This window comes from Homo sapiens, chromosome 2, assembly GCF_000001405.40.
Source record: "Homo sapiens chromosome 2, GRCh38.p14 Primary Assembly".
In the NCBI taxonomy this organism is placed as follows: Eukaryota; Metazoa; Chordata; class Mammalia; order Primates; family Hominidae; genus Homo; species Homo sapiens.
This window is the reverse complement of record NC_000002.12, coordinates 127998070-128015600: the sequence shown is the minus strand read 5'-3', so window position 1 is coordinate 128015600 and position 17531 is coordinate 127998070. Positions and strand designations below refer to the sequence as shown.

At 43.0% G+C, this 17531-nt stretch overlaps 1 protein-coding gene across 20 annotated transcripts in view; it reads left to right on the top strand.

The window, feature by feature from the left end:
• Positions 1–17531, top strand: part of SAP130 (Sin3A associated protein 130) — an 86838-nt gene that overhangs the window by 12459 nt on the left and 56848 nt on the right. For 11 of the 20 annotated variants that reach the window (NM_001330300.2, NM_001330302.2, NM_001330303.2 and 8 more), the window contains exons 5-10: positions 687–798; positions 2447–2571; positions 5208–5332; positions 15147–15294; positions 15455–15545; positions 15756–15860. In NM_001330300.2, coding sequence (NP_001317229.1) covers positions 687–798; positions 2447–2571; positions 5208–5332; positions 15147–15294; positions 15455–15545; positions 15756–15860 — 706 coding nt within the window. The remainder of the gene's footprint in view (positions 1–686; positions 799–2446; positions 2572–5207; positions 5333–15146; positions 15295–15454; positions 15546–15755; positions 15861–17531) is intronic. The other 9 variants (XM_047445826.1, XM_047445825.1, NM_001330299.2 and 6 more) reach the window with 1 other exon arrangement.

Here is a 17531-nt window from a genome sequence, read left to right as displayed (position 1 = left end):
AATCCTACTCTGCTGTGTACCTGATTAATTAAATATTTTACATTTTTTACCTGGGGAAAAAAACTAAATCTAAAAACTTTCCCTTCACATTTTCAAGAAAAATTTATATCCCAAAGAGGTGTACTGTGTTTTTTCCTTTTGTCATACTGCTGAGTACTCTCAGAAGTACCAGAACCCTTAGCTGAGAAGCCCTGAACTCTGTGGTTTGGGAGAATGTAAGGGACATTTCAGGGTTGAGCTGAAGAACTGGTAGGGAGCACCTGTTGGATACCAACTGACATTTACTTAGAAACAAAAAAGCTTAAAGAATGGATGGATGCAGTGGTATGTAAAGGAAATAGTGAGAATGGGAAAAAAAATAAGCATTTGGCCAGAACAGGGAAAACAAGTGTGAAAGGTAATATCGCAGATGAGAGTTTCTAAACGTAGATATCGAAGTATATTATCTGTAATTATGTGGGCCTGCAGCAGTTGTGGGGTCCTCATACTTCTCACATGCCTGTTAGCACAGTTCATTGTACGGTATGGCATGTAAAAGTAGCTCAAGCTGAATGTCCTTAGCCCTTTCTCTTGGGATACTCACTATCTAAAAAACAACCTGACCCACATTTGGAGGCAGGTGACTTCCTAGAGGCAATGGCTAAGAGCAAACATGTAAAAATAACGTTCTATCCTCTTTCTTTCAGGGCCATCCCAGTAACCTGCATCACATCATGACTACAAATGTGCAAATGTCTATCATCCGCAGCAATGCTCCTGGGCCCCCTCTTCACATTGGAGCTTCTCATTTACCTCGAGGTAACGACTTGCAAGTTTTGTTCAAACTCTCAAAATGTAGTAGTAGATATACATTTGGTAAAATACGTAACACAGAATGTATCTAGAATCAGCTTGTTAAAGTTGCAGAACAACAGTCTGCAGAACCGTGAACCAAATAAACCTCTTTTATTTAAAAAGAAAAAAAGGCCAGGTGCTGCGGTTCATGTCTATAAACCCAACACTTTGGGAGGCTGAGGTGGTAGGTTCACTTGAGTCCAGGAATTTGAGACCAGCCTGGGCAACATGGCGAAACCCTGTCTCTACAAAAATACAAAAAATTAGCCAGGTGTGGTGGCATGCGTCTGTAGTCCCATCTACTCAGGAGGCTGAGATGGGAGGATGGCACTCAGGAGGCTGAGATGGGAGGATGGCACTCAGGAGGCTGAGATAGGAGGATGGCACTCAGGAGGCTGAGATGGGAGGATGGCACTCAGGAGGCTGAGATGGGAGGATGGCTTGAGCTCGGGAGGCAGAGGTTGAAATGAGTTGAGATTGCGCCGCTGCACTCCAGCCTGGGTGACAGAGCGAGAACCTGTCTCAAGAAAAAGAAAAAAAATCGCAAGACAGTAGAAATAAACTTAGAGCAATCCATGTTTTTAGCATGGTTTAATATGTGCTTATTATAGTTGTATTACAAGTGTGTATATTTATGCAATTAAAGTGTTTAATATGGTCTAAAATTGTCCTATATATTGAGGAACTGCCCAAGCTTTGATAATCTCAACATGGTCTTTATTATTAGACTGCTTATCTGCAACATGGTCTTTATTTTTAATACATAAGTCACAAATATTAATACTGAATATTTTTAAAGTTCAGTGATGATCTTTACTCAGTTTTTTAACTTATGTAACAATAAAATGATGATGATAATTATTTTTTGAGATGGGGCCTCACTGGGTTACCCAGGCTGGTTTCAGATTTCTGGGGCACAAGCGATCTTCCCACTTTAGCCTCCTGAGTGGCTGGGACTACAGGTGTGAGCCACCACATGGCTAAGATTAATTTATTTTTACCCTTAAGTTCTAATAGGTTGTGAGGTAATAAATGAATTTTGACTAGAAATTTTTACCTTTTATTGGAGACTTTACAACAATTGGAGATTGTTGGCAAAATCAAGTTAGCAAACGCAAGACCAGGTTTGCTTGGTTATAGCATAACTCAGCAGTTCTCCAAATGTGGTTCACAGGCCCTTATGGGGGTCTGCAGGGTGAAAAGTGCAGGGTTAGGTTTAAGGTTAAGGTTCATAATGTGTCCCTTTGGCAATGTCGACGTCTGCTCTAATGGAACAAAGACTGGAAGGCAAAGTGTCCGAGCCTCGTCAGAGCTGAGGCAGTGGCATCACACTGCTGTTCCCTGTGTGCTTTACCACTGTGCACACTTGCAGTTAACAGAAACAAAAAACAGCAGCTAGTTTCACTTAAGGTTGTCTGTGAAGAGGCAATATAAATTATTATTAAATCTCTTGAATACACATTTTCTTTGTTTTCTCTGTGATGAAATGGGAAGTATACATACCATACTTCAGCTCGATATTGACATGCTATCTGAGTTTTGGGAAACATACTGATTATTTTCCCAGGGAATATAACTAGAATAAATATAATAAACACTTTTTTTTTTTCAGGTGCAGCTGCTGCTGCTGTGATGTCCAGTTCTAAAGTAACCACAGTCCTGAGGCCGACCTCACAGCTGCCAAATGCTGCTACTGCTCAGCCAGCAGTACAGCACATCATTCACCAACCAATCCAGGCACGTCGGAGCCTGGGGTGCATTAAGGGCCTCATTGGAGTTATTCATTCTGCCAGGCACTAGGCACATCCTTGACCTCAGGGACTTTCCATCTAGTTGCCAAGACATAGGGAAGTTTGAAAGATGCACAGTGTCATGTGGCAAGCTGTAAGAATGCAGAGGAGAGATGGTGGGAAGCCTTCCTGTTGGAAAGGCTGTGCTAACGAGGAATCAGAGAAGTGAAGAGGAAGTGAAGGGGGAAATGAACAGTGGCAAGGAAGGGAGTGATGGTTGTAGACAGCAGTTAGTAAAGGCTAGCTAGGATTGAGGGATTTTAATTTGGATTGGGGGGATCTGTGGACTCCTAAAAGTTAGGTGTATATCTATGTATATTCCAAGAACATGGTCCATGCCATTCAGCTTTTTCTTAAGGAAATCTATGACCTCATTATTACTGAAGTATAATATATTTGCAGGAAATATAGTATCTATAAATTGGGTTCTCTAGGATATGGAGTATAAACTAGACTTTATATACAGTAGAGAGCCACTGCGTTTTTTTGTTTATTTGTTTTTGTTTTTTGAGACAGTCTCACTCTGTTGCCCAGGCTGAAGTGCAGTGGTGCGATCCCAGCTCACTGCAACCTCTGCTTCCTGGGTTCAAGCGATTCTCCTGCCTCAGCCTTCCAAGTACTTGGGACTACAGGTGTGCACCACCATGCCCGGCTAATTTTTATACTTTTAGTAGAGACAGGATTTCACCCTGTTGGCCAGGCTGGTCTCGAACTCCTGACCTCAAGTGATCTGCCTGCCTCGGCCTCCTGAAGTGCTAGGATTACAGGCGTGAGCTACTGTGCCCGGCCAAAAATCATTTTTGTCTTTTTAACACAATGGCTCTGTGTATCATTAAAGTAATACTGTTGAAAGATGAGATTAGGCCAGGCGCAGTGGCTCACACCTGTAATTCCCAGCATTTTGGGAGGCCAAGGCGGGCGGATTGTCTGAGATCAGGAGTTTGAAACCGCCTTGGGCAACATGGTGAAACCCTGTCTCTACTAAAATGCCAAAAAATTAGCTGGGCATGGTGGTGCGTGCCTGTAATCCCAGCTACCTGGGAGGCTGAGGTGGGAGAATCACTTGAGTCCGAGAGGCAGAGGTTGCAGTGAGCCAAGATCGTGCCACTGCACTCTAGCTGGGACGAGAGAGTGAGACTCCATCTCACAAAAAATAAGAAAGATAAGATTAATCTAGCTGAATCACATACAGGAGGTCTGTCCCCTTAAGCACTTTCAGGGGACAGACAGATGTATGAAACAACTGGGTTTAAGATAATAAGGAAGTCTTGATTATGATACTGGGTAGTATCTGTCTAGCCTACAGCTTTCAAGATAAATACTTTTCTGGCCAAGAAAACAGAGTCGGAGGAGTATTAGGCCTCTAGTAGTATATGTGATACATATGAAGGGTTGGAGGAAGACGAGAACCAAGACAAGGAGCTCCCGAGTGAGGAAGCTGGTGCTGTAGCCCTAGTGTGAGACACGCACCTGCACATGGTAGAAGCGGCAGGTAAAAGGGCTGTAGATGAAAAGCAAGGATGAGGAATGGGCAGAGCTCGGCCATTTAGATGCATGTTTCAGGGTTAAGAGCAAGGGAAGAATCAGAACTCAGGTGATTCGAAGAATAATGGTGGGTATGTGGATGAAGCCCAGTGTGGAGCTTATTTTTTAGAGGAAGATTTCACACGTAAGTGTGATAAGGGCACTCTGTCCATGTGAAAACATCCAGAAAGGATATGGGCACCCTGAACGATTACCTAGAAAAGAATACTGTTACCTTGAGTTGCCCTTGTACTCACTAACGTAGATGGCCTGAGAGCCAACAGCTCTATTCAGCAGCTGAGTAGGCCCTCTGTGGAGGTGCTGGGTTGGATGGCAGCGTAAAATGTCTACACCAGGACCAACAACAGACCTGTGGCAACTCTAGATTGAAGGGTGAGATCCCATTGGTACCAATAGTAGGGCAGAATTTTGACTCCAATCACATTTGTACAGGAGGGACTCATGTACTGTTCAATCAAAATGGGATTTTTTTTTTTTTTTCAAAACACTTGTCAGTGGTATCTTAAGGGATTTTTTTTTTTTAATAATTCTGACTCTTAGTCTTTTTTTTTTTTCTTTTCTATTTTTTCAAGACAGTTTCTCTCTTGTTGCTCAAGCTGGAGCGCAATGGTGCGGTCTTGGCTCACTGCAACCTCTGCCTCCCAGGTTCAAGCGATTCTCCTGCCTCAACCTCCTGAGTAGCTGGGATTACAGGCGCGTGCCACCACACCCGGCTAATTTTTTTTGTATTTTTAGTCAAGACAGGGTTTTACTGTGTTAGCCAGGCTGGTCTTTTAACTCCTGATCTCAGTTGATCTGCCCACCTCAGCCTCCCAAAGTGCTGGGAATTACAGGCGTGAGCCACCGTGCCCGGCCTGGCTCTTGGTCTTATAACAACCTATCTGAAAAGAGAATTCCTTAATTGGAATGGTGAGAATTTATTTTTACTTGGGCAGAAACATGCTTATCTGTAGGCTCAAGTTTCAAATTACACATTTAGTATTTGACTTCCTCTATTTTATTTTTGTTTTAAATGAACTGTTTTTTCTCTTTTGGTAGTCTCGGCCACCTGTGACCACCTCCAATGCCATCCCTCCTGCTGTGGTAGCAACTGTCTCAGCCACCAGAGCTCAGTCTCCAGTCATCACTACGACAGCGGCGCATGCTACTGATTCAGCACTTAGGTATACATGGGGAGTATGAAGTTTGAACCTTCCTGCCATCCTCCTCCTTCACTCTTTTTTCTTTCGTTCCTTCATTTAAGTAAATATTTATTGAGTGGCTTTTTTTTTTTATAATGAGCTATGTAGTGTTCTAAATCCTGGGGCTAAAGCTGTGAACAAAGAAATTGCTGCCCACACAGAGCTTCTGTTTTTACAGGCTGGAGACGCGATAAATATGTAGCTTTTTAGATGGTGAAAAGTGCTTTGGAAAAAAATAAGGGTAAAAGGGATTGGGAGTGACAGGGTGGGTGGTGCAGGGGACTTACAGTTTCATGTAATGTGGTCGGAGAGGGCTTTGTTGATAAGAATACATTTCAGTAGAAAATGAAAAGATATAATGAAGTGAGTGAGCTATATGGTTATCGGAGAGAAGAGTATTCTAGGCAGTGGGAACAGTGAGCGCAAAGGCTCTGAGACAGGATTGTGTTTGCCACTTATAAGGACCACCAGTGAGGCCAAGGTGGCAAGAGTTAGATTTGGGGAGGTAGCAGGGTCTCCAGATCACATAGGCCCTTAGGAGCCACACTAAGGACATGGACTCGGCTGGGGCATGATGGAAAGCCTTAGTGGAGTTTTTAGCAGACCGATGCAATGATCTGAAGTTTCAGTTGGTTCAGCCTGGTTGCTGGATAGAATAGGCTCTGGAGAGGCCAAGTTAGAAGCAGAGTTGGGTAGAAGGGTATAGCCAGCATGTAGGAGAGATGAAAATGGATGTAGAAAGACATGATTAGATTCTGGGTAGATTATTATTATTTTTTGGAGACAGGGTCTCACTCTGTCACCCAGGCTGGAGTATAGTGGCACGATCATGGCTCACTGCAGCCTCAAACTCTCAGGCTCAAGTGATCCTCTTGCCTCAGCCTCCCAAGTAGCTGGAACTCCAGATGTGCACCACCATGCCTAACTAATTTTTTTATTTTCTTGTAGAGACAGGTTCTCACTTTGTTGCCCAGGTTGGTCGTGAACTCCTGGGCTCAAGTGATCCTCGCATCGCCCTAAGTGCTGGGATTATAGGCATGAGCCAGCCACCACACCTGGCCCTGGGTAGATTTTGAAGGATAGAGTCAAGAAGATTTCTGAGGAATCACTGGGGCAGGCGGTGGGGGTGTGGGAGTGTGAAAGAAGGAGAGGAGTCACGATTATTTGCCAGTGCTAGTTGGCCTGTATACCTAACAGGGTGGAGGACAGTGGGAGGTTTAGGAAAGGAGTTTTATACTTTGATTTTAGGCATTTTAAGATTGTGATGGCAAGATATAATGGCTCATGCATGTAATCTCAGCACTTTGGGAGGCTGAGGCAGGAGGATCACCGGAGTCCAGGAGTTTGAGACCAGCCTGGGCAACATAGGGAGACCCCATCTCTTTAAAAAATAAAAAAGTAGCCAGGCATGGTGGTGTGTACCTATGGTCCCAGCTACATGGGAAGCTGAGGTGGGAGGATGACTTGAGCCCTGGAGATTGAGTCTATAGTGAGCTGTGATCATGTCACTGCATTCCAGCTGGGGCAACAGAGCGAGACCCCATCTCCACCAAAAAAAAAACAAACAGGAAAAGGATTTAGGCTAGGTGCAGTGGCTCGTGCCCGTAACCCCAGTGCTTTTGGAGGCCAAGGTGGGAGAATCACTTGAGGCCAGGAATTCAAGACCAGCCCCAGCAACATACCAAGATCCCATTTCAACAAATTAAAAAAAAAAAAAAAAAAGGTAAGCGTGGTGGCATGTACCTATAGCCCTAGGTACTTGGAGACGGAAGTGGGAGGATCATGTGACCACAGGAGTTTGAGATTACTAGGAGCTATGATTGTGCCACTACTCTCTAGTCTGGGCAACAGAGCGAGATCCTGACTCTGAAAAAAAAGAAGCAAGAAAGATTTGTAGAGCCATACAGGGATAAAGTGTGGTTGATGAGGGATGATCTTAAAGGCTTTTTGTGAGTGACACAATCAGGGATGACATCATGCTGTTTTTCCTCATGATCTCCAAGTCACATTACAGGGAGGTTAGGGAGGGCAGTTGATTCTTGCCATTGGTTATGTTGAGGGAAGGGAGCCTTTGGCAATAGTGCAGACAAGAAGAGATTCACTGAATCAAAGCAAGGATAGTAGGTGTGGAGAGAGGAATTGTTAGAAGCTGGCGGGGCACCACTAGGACCTGTCAGCTAAAAGCAGGGCAGAGTGGTGAGGAAGAAAGAGGAATCGGAGATGCCTCTTTGATTTCCTCCTTACTTGTCCGAGTAAATGAAAATCAAAACAAGGGAAGGAAAGCAGGTTTTAGAAAAGCTTGAGCTTTGGGATACTGAGTTTATCTGTGTAACAACCAAGTGGCTGTTGTCAGTATGTGGTTGAAGAGATGTCTGTGCTAGAGATAATGGGTTTAGGAGTGATCAATGTGTGGGCCACAATGAAAGCCTTCAGGTGTCTATCCAGGGGTACTAGAGAGTGAGAAGAGGGCCTAGAACAGAACTCTGAAGAAAATTATGTTTAAATGAACAGCAATACCTGGAACTTATCTTAAGCCATTAGCTCTGTTATCTACTTGTGTGACATTAAGCAGGTTTTCAACTCCCCTGATCCTTTGTTCTCTCTTCAATAAAAGGGATACTTTACTTTGTGGCAGTTATTAATAAATATGTTGCCTGAGGTACAAAGAGACAGAACTACCCAACATAAAATAGACTACTTGTTGTTGCTCATTTTAACTTTATAAAAGTTAATGTATTCAGATGGTATGAGGAAATTCACAAGGTATAAATGGATATACAGTCATCTCTATCTATGGGGTCTTGGCTCCAGGAGCCCCTGCAGATGCTGAAATCCAAGGACGCTCAAGTTCCTTCATATAAAGTAGCATAGTATTTGCGTATAACCTACGCACCTCCTCCCATGTACTCTAAATCATCTCCAGGTTACTTGGAGTGCCTATTATGATGCCTGCACATCACTTCATTCATGTGGATTCCGTATAGTACTTGGTGCTCAGCTAATGCAAGTTTTGCTTTTTGGAATTTGGGGAAATTGTTTTCCCCTTTGAATATTTTCAATCCATGCTTGGTTGAATCCATAGATGTGGCACCTATGAAACTGAGGGCCAACTGTATGATGAAAACTAGGGGTAGGCTTTTTATTTTTAATCGTTTTGTCAAAGTATCTTTTCCATTGTGTTGATTGTTTTAATAAAACCTGGATATTGAATTTTGTTGAATGCATTTTTAGCATTCACTCATATAACACTAGCAATATACTACAAGTAGTGAATGAAACAGACAAAAACCCTAATCAGATGATTTTTCTCTTTATATCTACAACTACAATAAATTCCTAATGTCTAACTTTTTTGGAATTAAGATAGAACTTCTTCAACAGACCAATTTCCTTAGAAGAAATAGAAAAAAATTTTAAGCACTATCTCTCACAAAAGCACCAGATCCAGCTGGTTTCATAGAATTCTTTTTTGAGACAACGTCTTGCTCCGCCAGCCAGGTTGGAGAACAGTGGCTTGATCACGGCTCACTGCAGCCTTGACCTCCTAGGCCCAAGTGATCCTTCTACCTCAGCCTCCCAAAGCTGGGACTACGGGCACGTGCCACCATGCACCATGCCTGGCTAATTTTAAAATGTTTTGTAGAGACAGGGTCTCCCTATGTTGCCCAGGCTGGTGTCAAACTCCTGGGCTCAAGCGATCCATCTGCCTCAGCCTCCCAAAGTGCTGGGATTACAATTGTGAGCCACCACACCCAGCCTTGGTTTCATAGAATTCTACCAAACCTTCAAAGGGGCCAGATAAATCAGTGATAATGAAATTGGTTCAAGGTATAGAAAAAAAGTAAAATTCCAGAAAAATGTAAGTCATATCTTAATTTTTCTACTAAATACATTCAGTCTGTCAGTTCTTTGACCCTTGTCTTTTCAGTCATTACTTGGTTGAATGAAATTTATTTTCTATCACTTTCTTCAAAAAGGGCAAAATTTAAAGCACCAATATTTTGAAAGTTTACGTGCTGAGAATCATTTCCCATTTATACTTAGGCAATAGTTTGGCTGATTGAGTGTTTTATTGTTTCTATATTCTTTCCATGATTACTTGATGGGTAATTTTTCCCGTCTTCTAGATCTGGATGTTACTGGAGTCTGTTTTTTTTTTTTTTAACCGCTTACAAAGGCCTTAGTCTTTTTGCCTTATTGCCTGATTCTTTTTCGTTGAATATCAGCAAATTTCATAGCATTTATTTTGTAATGACCATTATTTATGGTTTTGTTCTAAACATGGTGTGCCTTTTCAATCTGTAGCATAAAACTATTCATTGGCCAGGCATGGTGGCTCATGCCTCTAATCCCAGCACTCTGGGAGGCTGAGGCAGGCAGATCACTTGAGGTCAGGAGTTTGAGACCAGCCTGGCCAACATGGTGAAACCCTGTCTGTCAGCTGGGCATGGGGCCGGATGCCTGTAATCCCAGCTACTTGGGAAGCTGAGGCGGGAGAATCGCTTGAACCTGGGAGGCGGAGGTTGCAGTGAGCCAAGATCGCGCCACTGCGCTCCAGCCTGGGCAACAGAGCGAGACACTGTCTCAAAAAAAAAAAAAAGAAAGAAAAACTATATGAACAGTTTGTTTGTTTTTTTTTCTTTTGAGACCTAGTCTTGCTCAGGCTGGAGTTCAGTGGCGCGGTCTCAGCTCACTGCAGTCTCCACCCCCCGGGTTCAAGCCATTCTCTTGCCTCAGTCTTCCGAGTAGCTGGGATTACAGACACCCACCACCACCCCTGGCTAATTTTTGTATTTTTAGTAGATGGGGGTTTGCCATGTTGGCCAGGCTGGTCTCGAACTCCTGACCTCAGGTGATTTACCCACCTCAGCCTTCCAGAGTGTTGGGATTACAGGTGATTCCCAAGTGTTGAATCTTTTTGCACTCCTATGTAATTTTTTTAACTGTTCCCTTTAATGTTGCTTTCATACTCTTCTCCGCCCTTGACTGCATTTTCAGCATTGTCTCTCATGTTCCACTTCTAATTTTGCCTTCATTCTTGAAACTGCTGAGCAGTTGCCTTCTGTTTCTCTCTGGAGCTCTGCCCATATATTTTGTCTTCTTCTGTTGTTCTCTCATCATTTCCACTGAGTTCTTATGTCTTTGCTTTGTGTTTCCATTTCATAGAAGCAGTTACTTCATTAAGTTTTTAAATTCATGGTACAGTGTTCATCTGCGTAGTGAAAGCACTTCTGGTGTGTTTTGTTCCACCTTTTGTCTTTTAGCATCTTTAAATAGATCCTGTTTTGGATCCTTTCTGAGTATTCATCTTTGATTGGATTGGCTTTATTCTGGATCCCCATTTGTAATTGGTTCTTATTGTAGCCTGGACTATATACTGGGTTTGGATAAATTTTCCAAATGACTCAGTGTCCTGTGTTTGAATTTTGTTGGCCATTACTTCACTCCTGTCAGTGCAGATAGACCACTTAAAATGGCAAAGCCTCTCTTCCCTAGGTCCCCCGCACACTATTCCCCACAGACGGGGCTTATCTGTGTCTGTGTCTGATTCCTGGTTTAACCCTAGATCCTTTGCTTTTTAACCCTTGGAACTGGTCCAAATGCTCCTTCACTGCCAGCTTCATTTCCACTGTTACACAAAAGATTTTGGTTTTCTCTGTCAGTTTATGCTCCTCATTTTGGAGTATTATACTTCCTTACTGGATTTTATCCCCAGAATTATAGCCCCAGAAATTCTCTCTTCAGGCTGGGCAGGGTGGCTCATGTCTGTAATCGTACACTTTGGGAGGCTGAGGCAGGAGGATTGTCTGAGCCTAGGAATTCAAGACCAGCCTGAGCAACATAGTGAGAATCTATCGCTTTAAAAAAAAAAAAAAAAAAAAAAAAAAAGGAAAGAAAGCAATCCTCCTTTCACTGGCTCCTGAGTCCCTGTTTGGTTGTCCCTACCTTTGGCAGTTCTTCTGTCCTGTGGTTTGAGATTTCAGATGTCTCCTAATTTTGCGAAAGGAGGATACTGTATTTCTCTTTTTTGTTTTCCTTACTATTTCCTTACTATCCTCTGAGAGGAGAAGGAGAAAATACCACACTGGCAGTCTCTGCCTACAATCCCCTTGTCCTCCAAATAAGCTAGTCATACAAGGACCCATCTGAACACTGGAGGATAATCACAAGTCCATTTATCATTTAACCCCTGTATTTTCTGTAGATGTCAGATCACTGAATTGGGGCTCTATCCTTGGAGTTGCCTTTCAGGCTGTCAACAAAAAAAAAAAAAAAAAAAAAAAAAAAAAAAAGCTGATCTGTGGGAGAACTACACAGTTGGGTATCCCTAAACCAAAATCCGTAATATGCCAAAATCTGAAACTGAGCACTGCCATGACACTCAAAGGAAATGTTCCTTGAAGCATTTCTGCTTTTTGGATTGGGGATGCTGAGTCTGTAAGTATATAATTCCAAAATCTCAAACACTTCTCATCTCAAACGTTTTAGATAAGGTATACTCAACCTGTAATATGGTGATTAGACAACAGATTAGGGAGCACTTTCTGAATGACCTTACTTACTCCCTCTGACTGTTTTTGGTACGTGTGGGTGAGTCACTATGGACCTGTCGATGTTAAATATTCAGACTGGATTTTTTTTGTTGTCATTTGTTTTTGTTTTTGAGACAACGTCTCACTCTGTCACCCAGGCTGAATCACATCTTGACGCCCACCTGTAGTCCCAGGTACTCAGGAGGCTGAGGTGGGAGGAGACCTTGAACCCCAGAAGTCAAGGTTGCAGTGGCGCAGTCACAGCTCACTGCAACCTTAACCTCTGGGCTTCAAGCTGTCCTCCCACCTCAGCCTCCTGAGTACCTGGGACCATAGGTGTATGCCAAGATGCCTGGTTAGTTGTTTTATTTTTCATAGAGACTGGGCCTTGCCATGTTGCTCAGGCTGGTCTCAAATTCCTGGGCTCAAGCAGTCCTCCTGCCTCAGCTCCCAAAGTGCTAGGGCTTACAGATGTGAGCCACTGCGCCCAGCCTCAAAATATTTTAATCAAAGTCTCTTTCTTTTGCTCCCAGTGCCCCAAATTGGGCTAGTGAGAACCCCTTTTTGCTGGCTCAAGTGTCTTTTTTTTTTTGAGACCCTCTCATGTGTCGCCCAGGCTGGAGTGCAGTGGCACAGTCTCAGCTCACTGTAACCTCTGCCTCCTGGGCTCTCAAGCGATCCTCCCACTTCGGCCTCCCAAGTAGCTGAGACTACAGGTGTGTGGTGCCATGCCCAGCTAATTTTTATATTTTTAGTAGAGGTGGAATTTCGCCATGTTGCCTACGCCAGTCTTGAACTCCTGGACTCAAGCAATCTGCCTGCCTTGGCCTCCCAAAGTGCTGCTGGGATTACAAGCGTGAGCCACTGTACCAGGCCTGGCCCAAGTTTCCTTTTGATGACTCCCGTTAGCCTTTGAGTACTTTATTGTTTTTGATACACGATGTCTCATGCTTTCTCCTGTTTTTTTTGTTTGTTTTTTGTTTTTTGTTTTAGTTTTCAAATAAGCCAATTCTCCTTGGTTCTTTTTAGTGGAGAGTAGAACACCCAAGTTCTGGGTGTTAGAAGTGTTCATTGTTTCTGGTGTGTCATTGCTTTTGGGCTCTTTCTGGGGACAGAGGTACTCAGTATAGTAAAGATAGTCATGTCTTCCTGCTGATATTTTCCTCTTTATTTTTTTATTTATTTTTTTGAGACAGACTCTTGCGCTGTCACCCAGGCTAGAGTGCAGTGGTACAATCTTGGCTCACTGCAACCTCTGCCTCCCAGGTTCAAGTGATTCTCCTCCCTCAGCCTCTGGAGTAGTTGGGACTACAGGCACGTACCACCGCACCCGGTTAATTTTGTATTTTTAGTAGAGATGGGGTTTTACCATGTTGGCCAGGCTGGTCTTGAACTTGATCCACTTGCCTCAGCCTCCCAAAATGCTAGGATTACAGACGTGAGCCACCACCTGTTTTAAAATCTTATGTTATTTTAAATCTTATGTTAATTAAAAAGTTTTGGCCGGGCACATTGGCTCATGCCTATAATCCCAGCACTTTGGGAGGCCAGGGCGGGCGGATCAAGAGATCAAGACCATCTTGGCCAACATTGTGAAACCACGTCTCTACTAAAAATACAAAAATTAGCCAGGCATTGTGGCACGCGCCTGTAGTCCCAGCTACTCAGGAGGCTAAGGCAGGAGAATTGCCTCTGCCTGGGAGGTGGAGGTTGCAGTCAGCTGAGATCATGCCATTGCACTCCAGCCTAGTGACAGAGTGAGACTCCATCTCAAAAAAAAAAAAAGTTTTTTTCACTCCTTCTCTGGTAATGGACGCATATTGGTATTTACAGATGAAATTTAACATTACAGTTTTGTTTTGGTTTTTTTTTGCTTTCTGAGGTTTTACACTCATTCATTACTTAATGATGGGGATACAGTCTGAGAAATGAATAGTTAGGCAGTCTTGACATGCAAACATCATAAGAGTATACTTACACAAACCTAGATGGTGTTACCTACTACACACCGAGGCTATGATGCTATAACTATTGCTCCTAGTTTGTAGACCTATACAGCCTGTTACTGTACTGAATACTGTAGGCAGTTGTAACACTATGGTATTTGTATATCTAAATACAGAAAAGGTACAGTAAAAATACAGTGTAAAAGATTAAAAAAGAGGCACCTGTATCATTTGTCCATCTGACACAAATTAACCTCTTGCTATTTGTAGATTACTACTAACAATAAGAATACCGAGTAACTAACTTCACAGTTCTTTTTGTCCTCCAGCTAGATCCCACTAACCAGAGTGGCAATGTGTTTGAATGTCACCTGAAGTGATTCTTTGCATTTTATTTTATTGGAGACAGGGTCTCACTCTGTCGCCCAGGCTGGAGAGCTCACTTTAGCCTTGGCCTCCCAGGCTTAAGCGGTCCTCCTGCTGGGATTACTGGTGTGAGCTGCCGCCTGTGGCCTCCCCTCTGATTTGAATAGCCAACTTTGTTATACTGTCAAATTTTCTTGCCAGTGTTGCCATTTCAGTAGCTTGCTACCAATTAATTTGGCATCCTCTGTTGATTTCCCTTCCAATCCTGAGGCAGCCATAACTAACTTTTTATCATTTTAGGAGTGTTCTTACATTTGCTAAGGAATGATGTAAAATTGGGAGGAAGGTCCATGCTTCAAGGGTCATAGTTTAAGCTGCTGTTAATCCAAATTGTCTCTGATCTTTCTTCAGGAAATTTGTCAAAAACTTACAGCATGTAAATTTATAGTATATTTTCAGATTTATCCACAGAGTTCAGTGCAATTATTTTATTTTTATTTTTTATGTAGACAAGGTCTTACTCTGTCCCCCAGGCTGGAGTGCAGTGGCAGTCATCGCTCACTGTAACCCTGACTTCCTGGGCACAAGCTATCCTTCAGCCTTTGCGCCCCCCAAAAGCACTGTGTCTACAGGTGTGAGCCACCGCACCTGACCTGAAGTGCAATTATTATAATGATATTAACTCAAGTTTGTTACGGAGTGTTGATTAACTACATCAAGGATTCTGAGAACAAGTAAGGGTTAATTTCTTCAGTTTGTGGTACAAATTGATGCCTTTTAAAACAAGACAAACTCAGTGCACCTTTTGCCACATTGGTGTGATTAAAGACCAAGTATTGGTTTAACTCCGAACTTCATAGACCTATGAAAAAGTATAACTTGCATGACTAACCTAGGAGAAGATTGTAAATGACCTTGCCCATCTGCATTGTGTCTTTGTTATCTTTTCAGTAGGCCAACCTTGTCTATCCAGCATCCTCCATCTGCAGCAATCAGTATTCAGCGTCCTGCCCAGTCACGAGATGTCACAACAAGAATCACACTACCATCTCACCCTGCATTAGGGACGCCAAAACAGCAGCTTCATACAATGGCTCAGGTAAAACCAAAAGTGGAGAACCACCTGTGTACTTTGTTGGGTAAAACCAAAAGTGGGCAAAATGTGCTGAGGGCCTGGTGATACCGAAGGCATTGATTGTGTTTACCCTGGACGCAGTGGATAATGTTCTTATAACTGTGTTGTGGGGTTTCCCTCACAGAAAACAATCTTCAGTACTGGCACGCCAGTGGCTGCAGCCACAGTAGCACCTATTTTGGCAACCAACACCATTCCTTCAGCGACCACAGCTGGTAAGTCCACGACCCTCCTCTTCCTTCTACTGGGGAAAAAGGAGGCAAGAGTGATGGGTTAATTTTTCATTTCTCACCTTCAGTCAGAGAAAAACAACGGGCTAGAAAAATTCTCTTAACTTTTTCCAGGAGATTTCCCAGGTTTTTGAGAATCTGTAACGTGTGCAGAGAAGTTCTTGTTAAAGAATTTCCTTTTTTCCCCTATTTCAGGATCTGTGTCACACACGCAAGCTCCCACAAGTACCATTGTTACCATGACAGTACCCTCCCATTCCTCCCATGCTACTGCTGTGACCACCTCAAACATCCCAGTCGGTAAGTGGCCTGCTGCCTTCGGACAGAAGCTTACCAGGAGTGCTGTAACCCCTCAGACTAGGCCTTCATGGTGATGGCTAGTATTGATTTTTACCATTGTTGATTTCCTCTTTTTTTTTTTTTTCTTTTCTTTTTCTTTCCTTAAGTCTCACTCTGTTGCCCAAACTGGAGTGCAGTGACGTGATCTCGACTCACTGCAACCTCCACCTCCTGGGTTCAAGCAGTTCTCCTGCCTCAGCCTCCCAAGTAGCTGAGACTACAGGCACATGCCACCATGCCTGGCTAATTTTTTTGTATTTTTAGTAGAGATGGGGTTTCGCTACGTTGGCCAGGCTGGTCTTGACCTCATGATCTGCCCGCCTCGGCCTCCCAAAGTGCTGGGATTACAGGCATGAGCCACCGCACTCAGCTGAGATAAGGCAGTTTTTGTGAAGAGGACACCCTGACATACTGGTGACTGGACGTAAAGTGTGGGTTCCAGCCCCTCTGAGCAAACTTTGAAGCCCATTTTCTGGAATAATGGTAGTACCCAGGAAGTCCCTACTCCTGTTCTAGGGTGACCAGCCTACACCAGCCCTTAAGTAGGTGCTCAGCCTCACAGAAGTCTTTTAGCACAGAGGGTGCTACTATTGGGTCTTTTCTGCATCACTGCTCACCATGACTTGCCATTGGAGAGACCAAATTTTTCCCGTAACCTTCTGAATTTAATTCATATTTGTCAAAAGAAGTTTGTTTTGTTTGTATCTGTTTAGCATAACACACCTGTTGAAAAGGTAGTAAATTGTCCATATTGCCATCTCAGCCCATTTCCTTCCTCTGCCTGCGTCATCAGCTCTCCTGAGTGCTATCACGGCAGAGCCAAGCCCAGACGCTTAACGTTTATCAAGTCAGGAGCCTCACTCGGGTATTTGTATCTATGATCGAAAGTCAGACCAATAAAGAGGGGCCCTTGTGGCCCAGAGGGACTGTCTAGTTTCCTCCTGACCCTCCACCATGAAGAATTTTTTAGAGATTGGTTCTTGTGAATGTCCTTCTATCTTCCTAAGAGATCCCACTGTGGAAGTAGACTCACTAAAAAGTACCAGGAAACGTACATACATGTATTCCTATGTTCCATGGGGTTTATGCTGTCATTTTGTTTTTCTCTTTTATGCTAACCCCAATATTTCTGTATTATAATAGGATCTCTCTAAGAAAGGTAGCTCAGTTGAGAAGGGAAACCTGATATAACCCTAGACCACTGATTTTCAAGTTGGGAAGTAAAACATACATATTAAAATCACCTAAGTGACTTTTTCCAAGTGAGCTTGCCCTCTCCAGGTGATATTAAATCGAATTCAGCTATTCTTATTAGGAATATGTTGGCTCAGAAAAAAAGCCTAATAAATCACAAGTATAAGGTTTTTGCCTCTATTCCAATGGAATACCATTCTTATTTTCTTCATGTTCTGGTCAACATATGATCATGTTCTCAGAATTATGGAAAGCAAAATCTGGTGATCACATCATTCAGAAAATAGGGATAAGTTTTGGAGATAACATTATGGCAGACTTAATGTTTTCTGTGCTATATAGTTCCTTGGTTTTTATTTAACTATTGAGAATGTATGGTTTTTTTTCTTTTTTTTTTTTTGAGATGGAGTCTCACTCTATTATGCAGGCTGGAGTGCA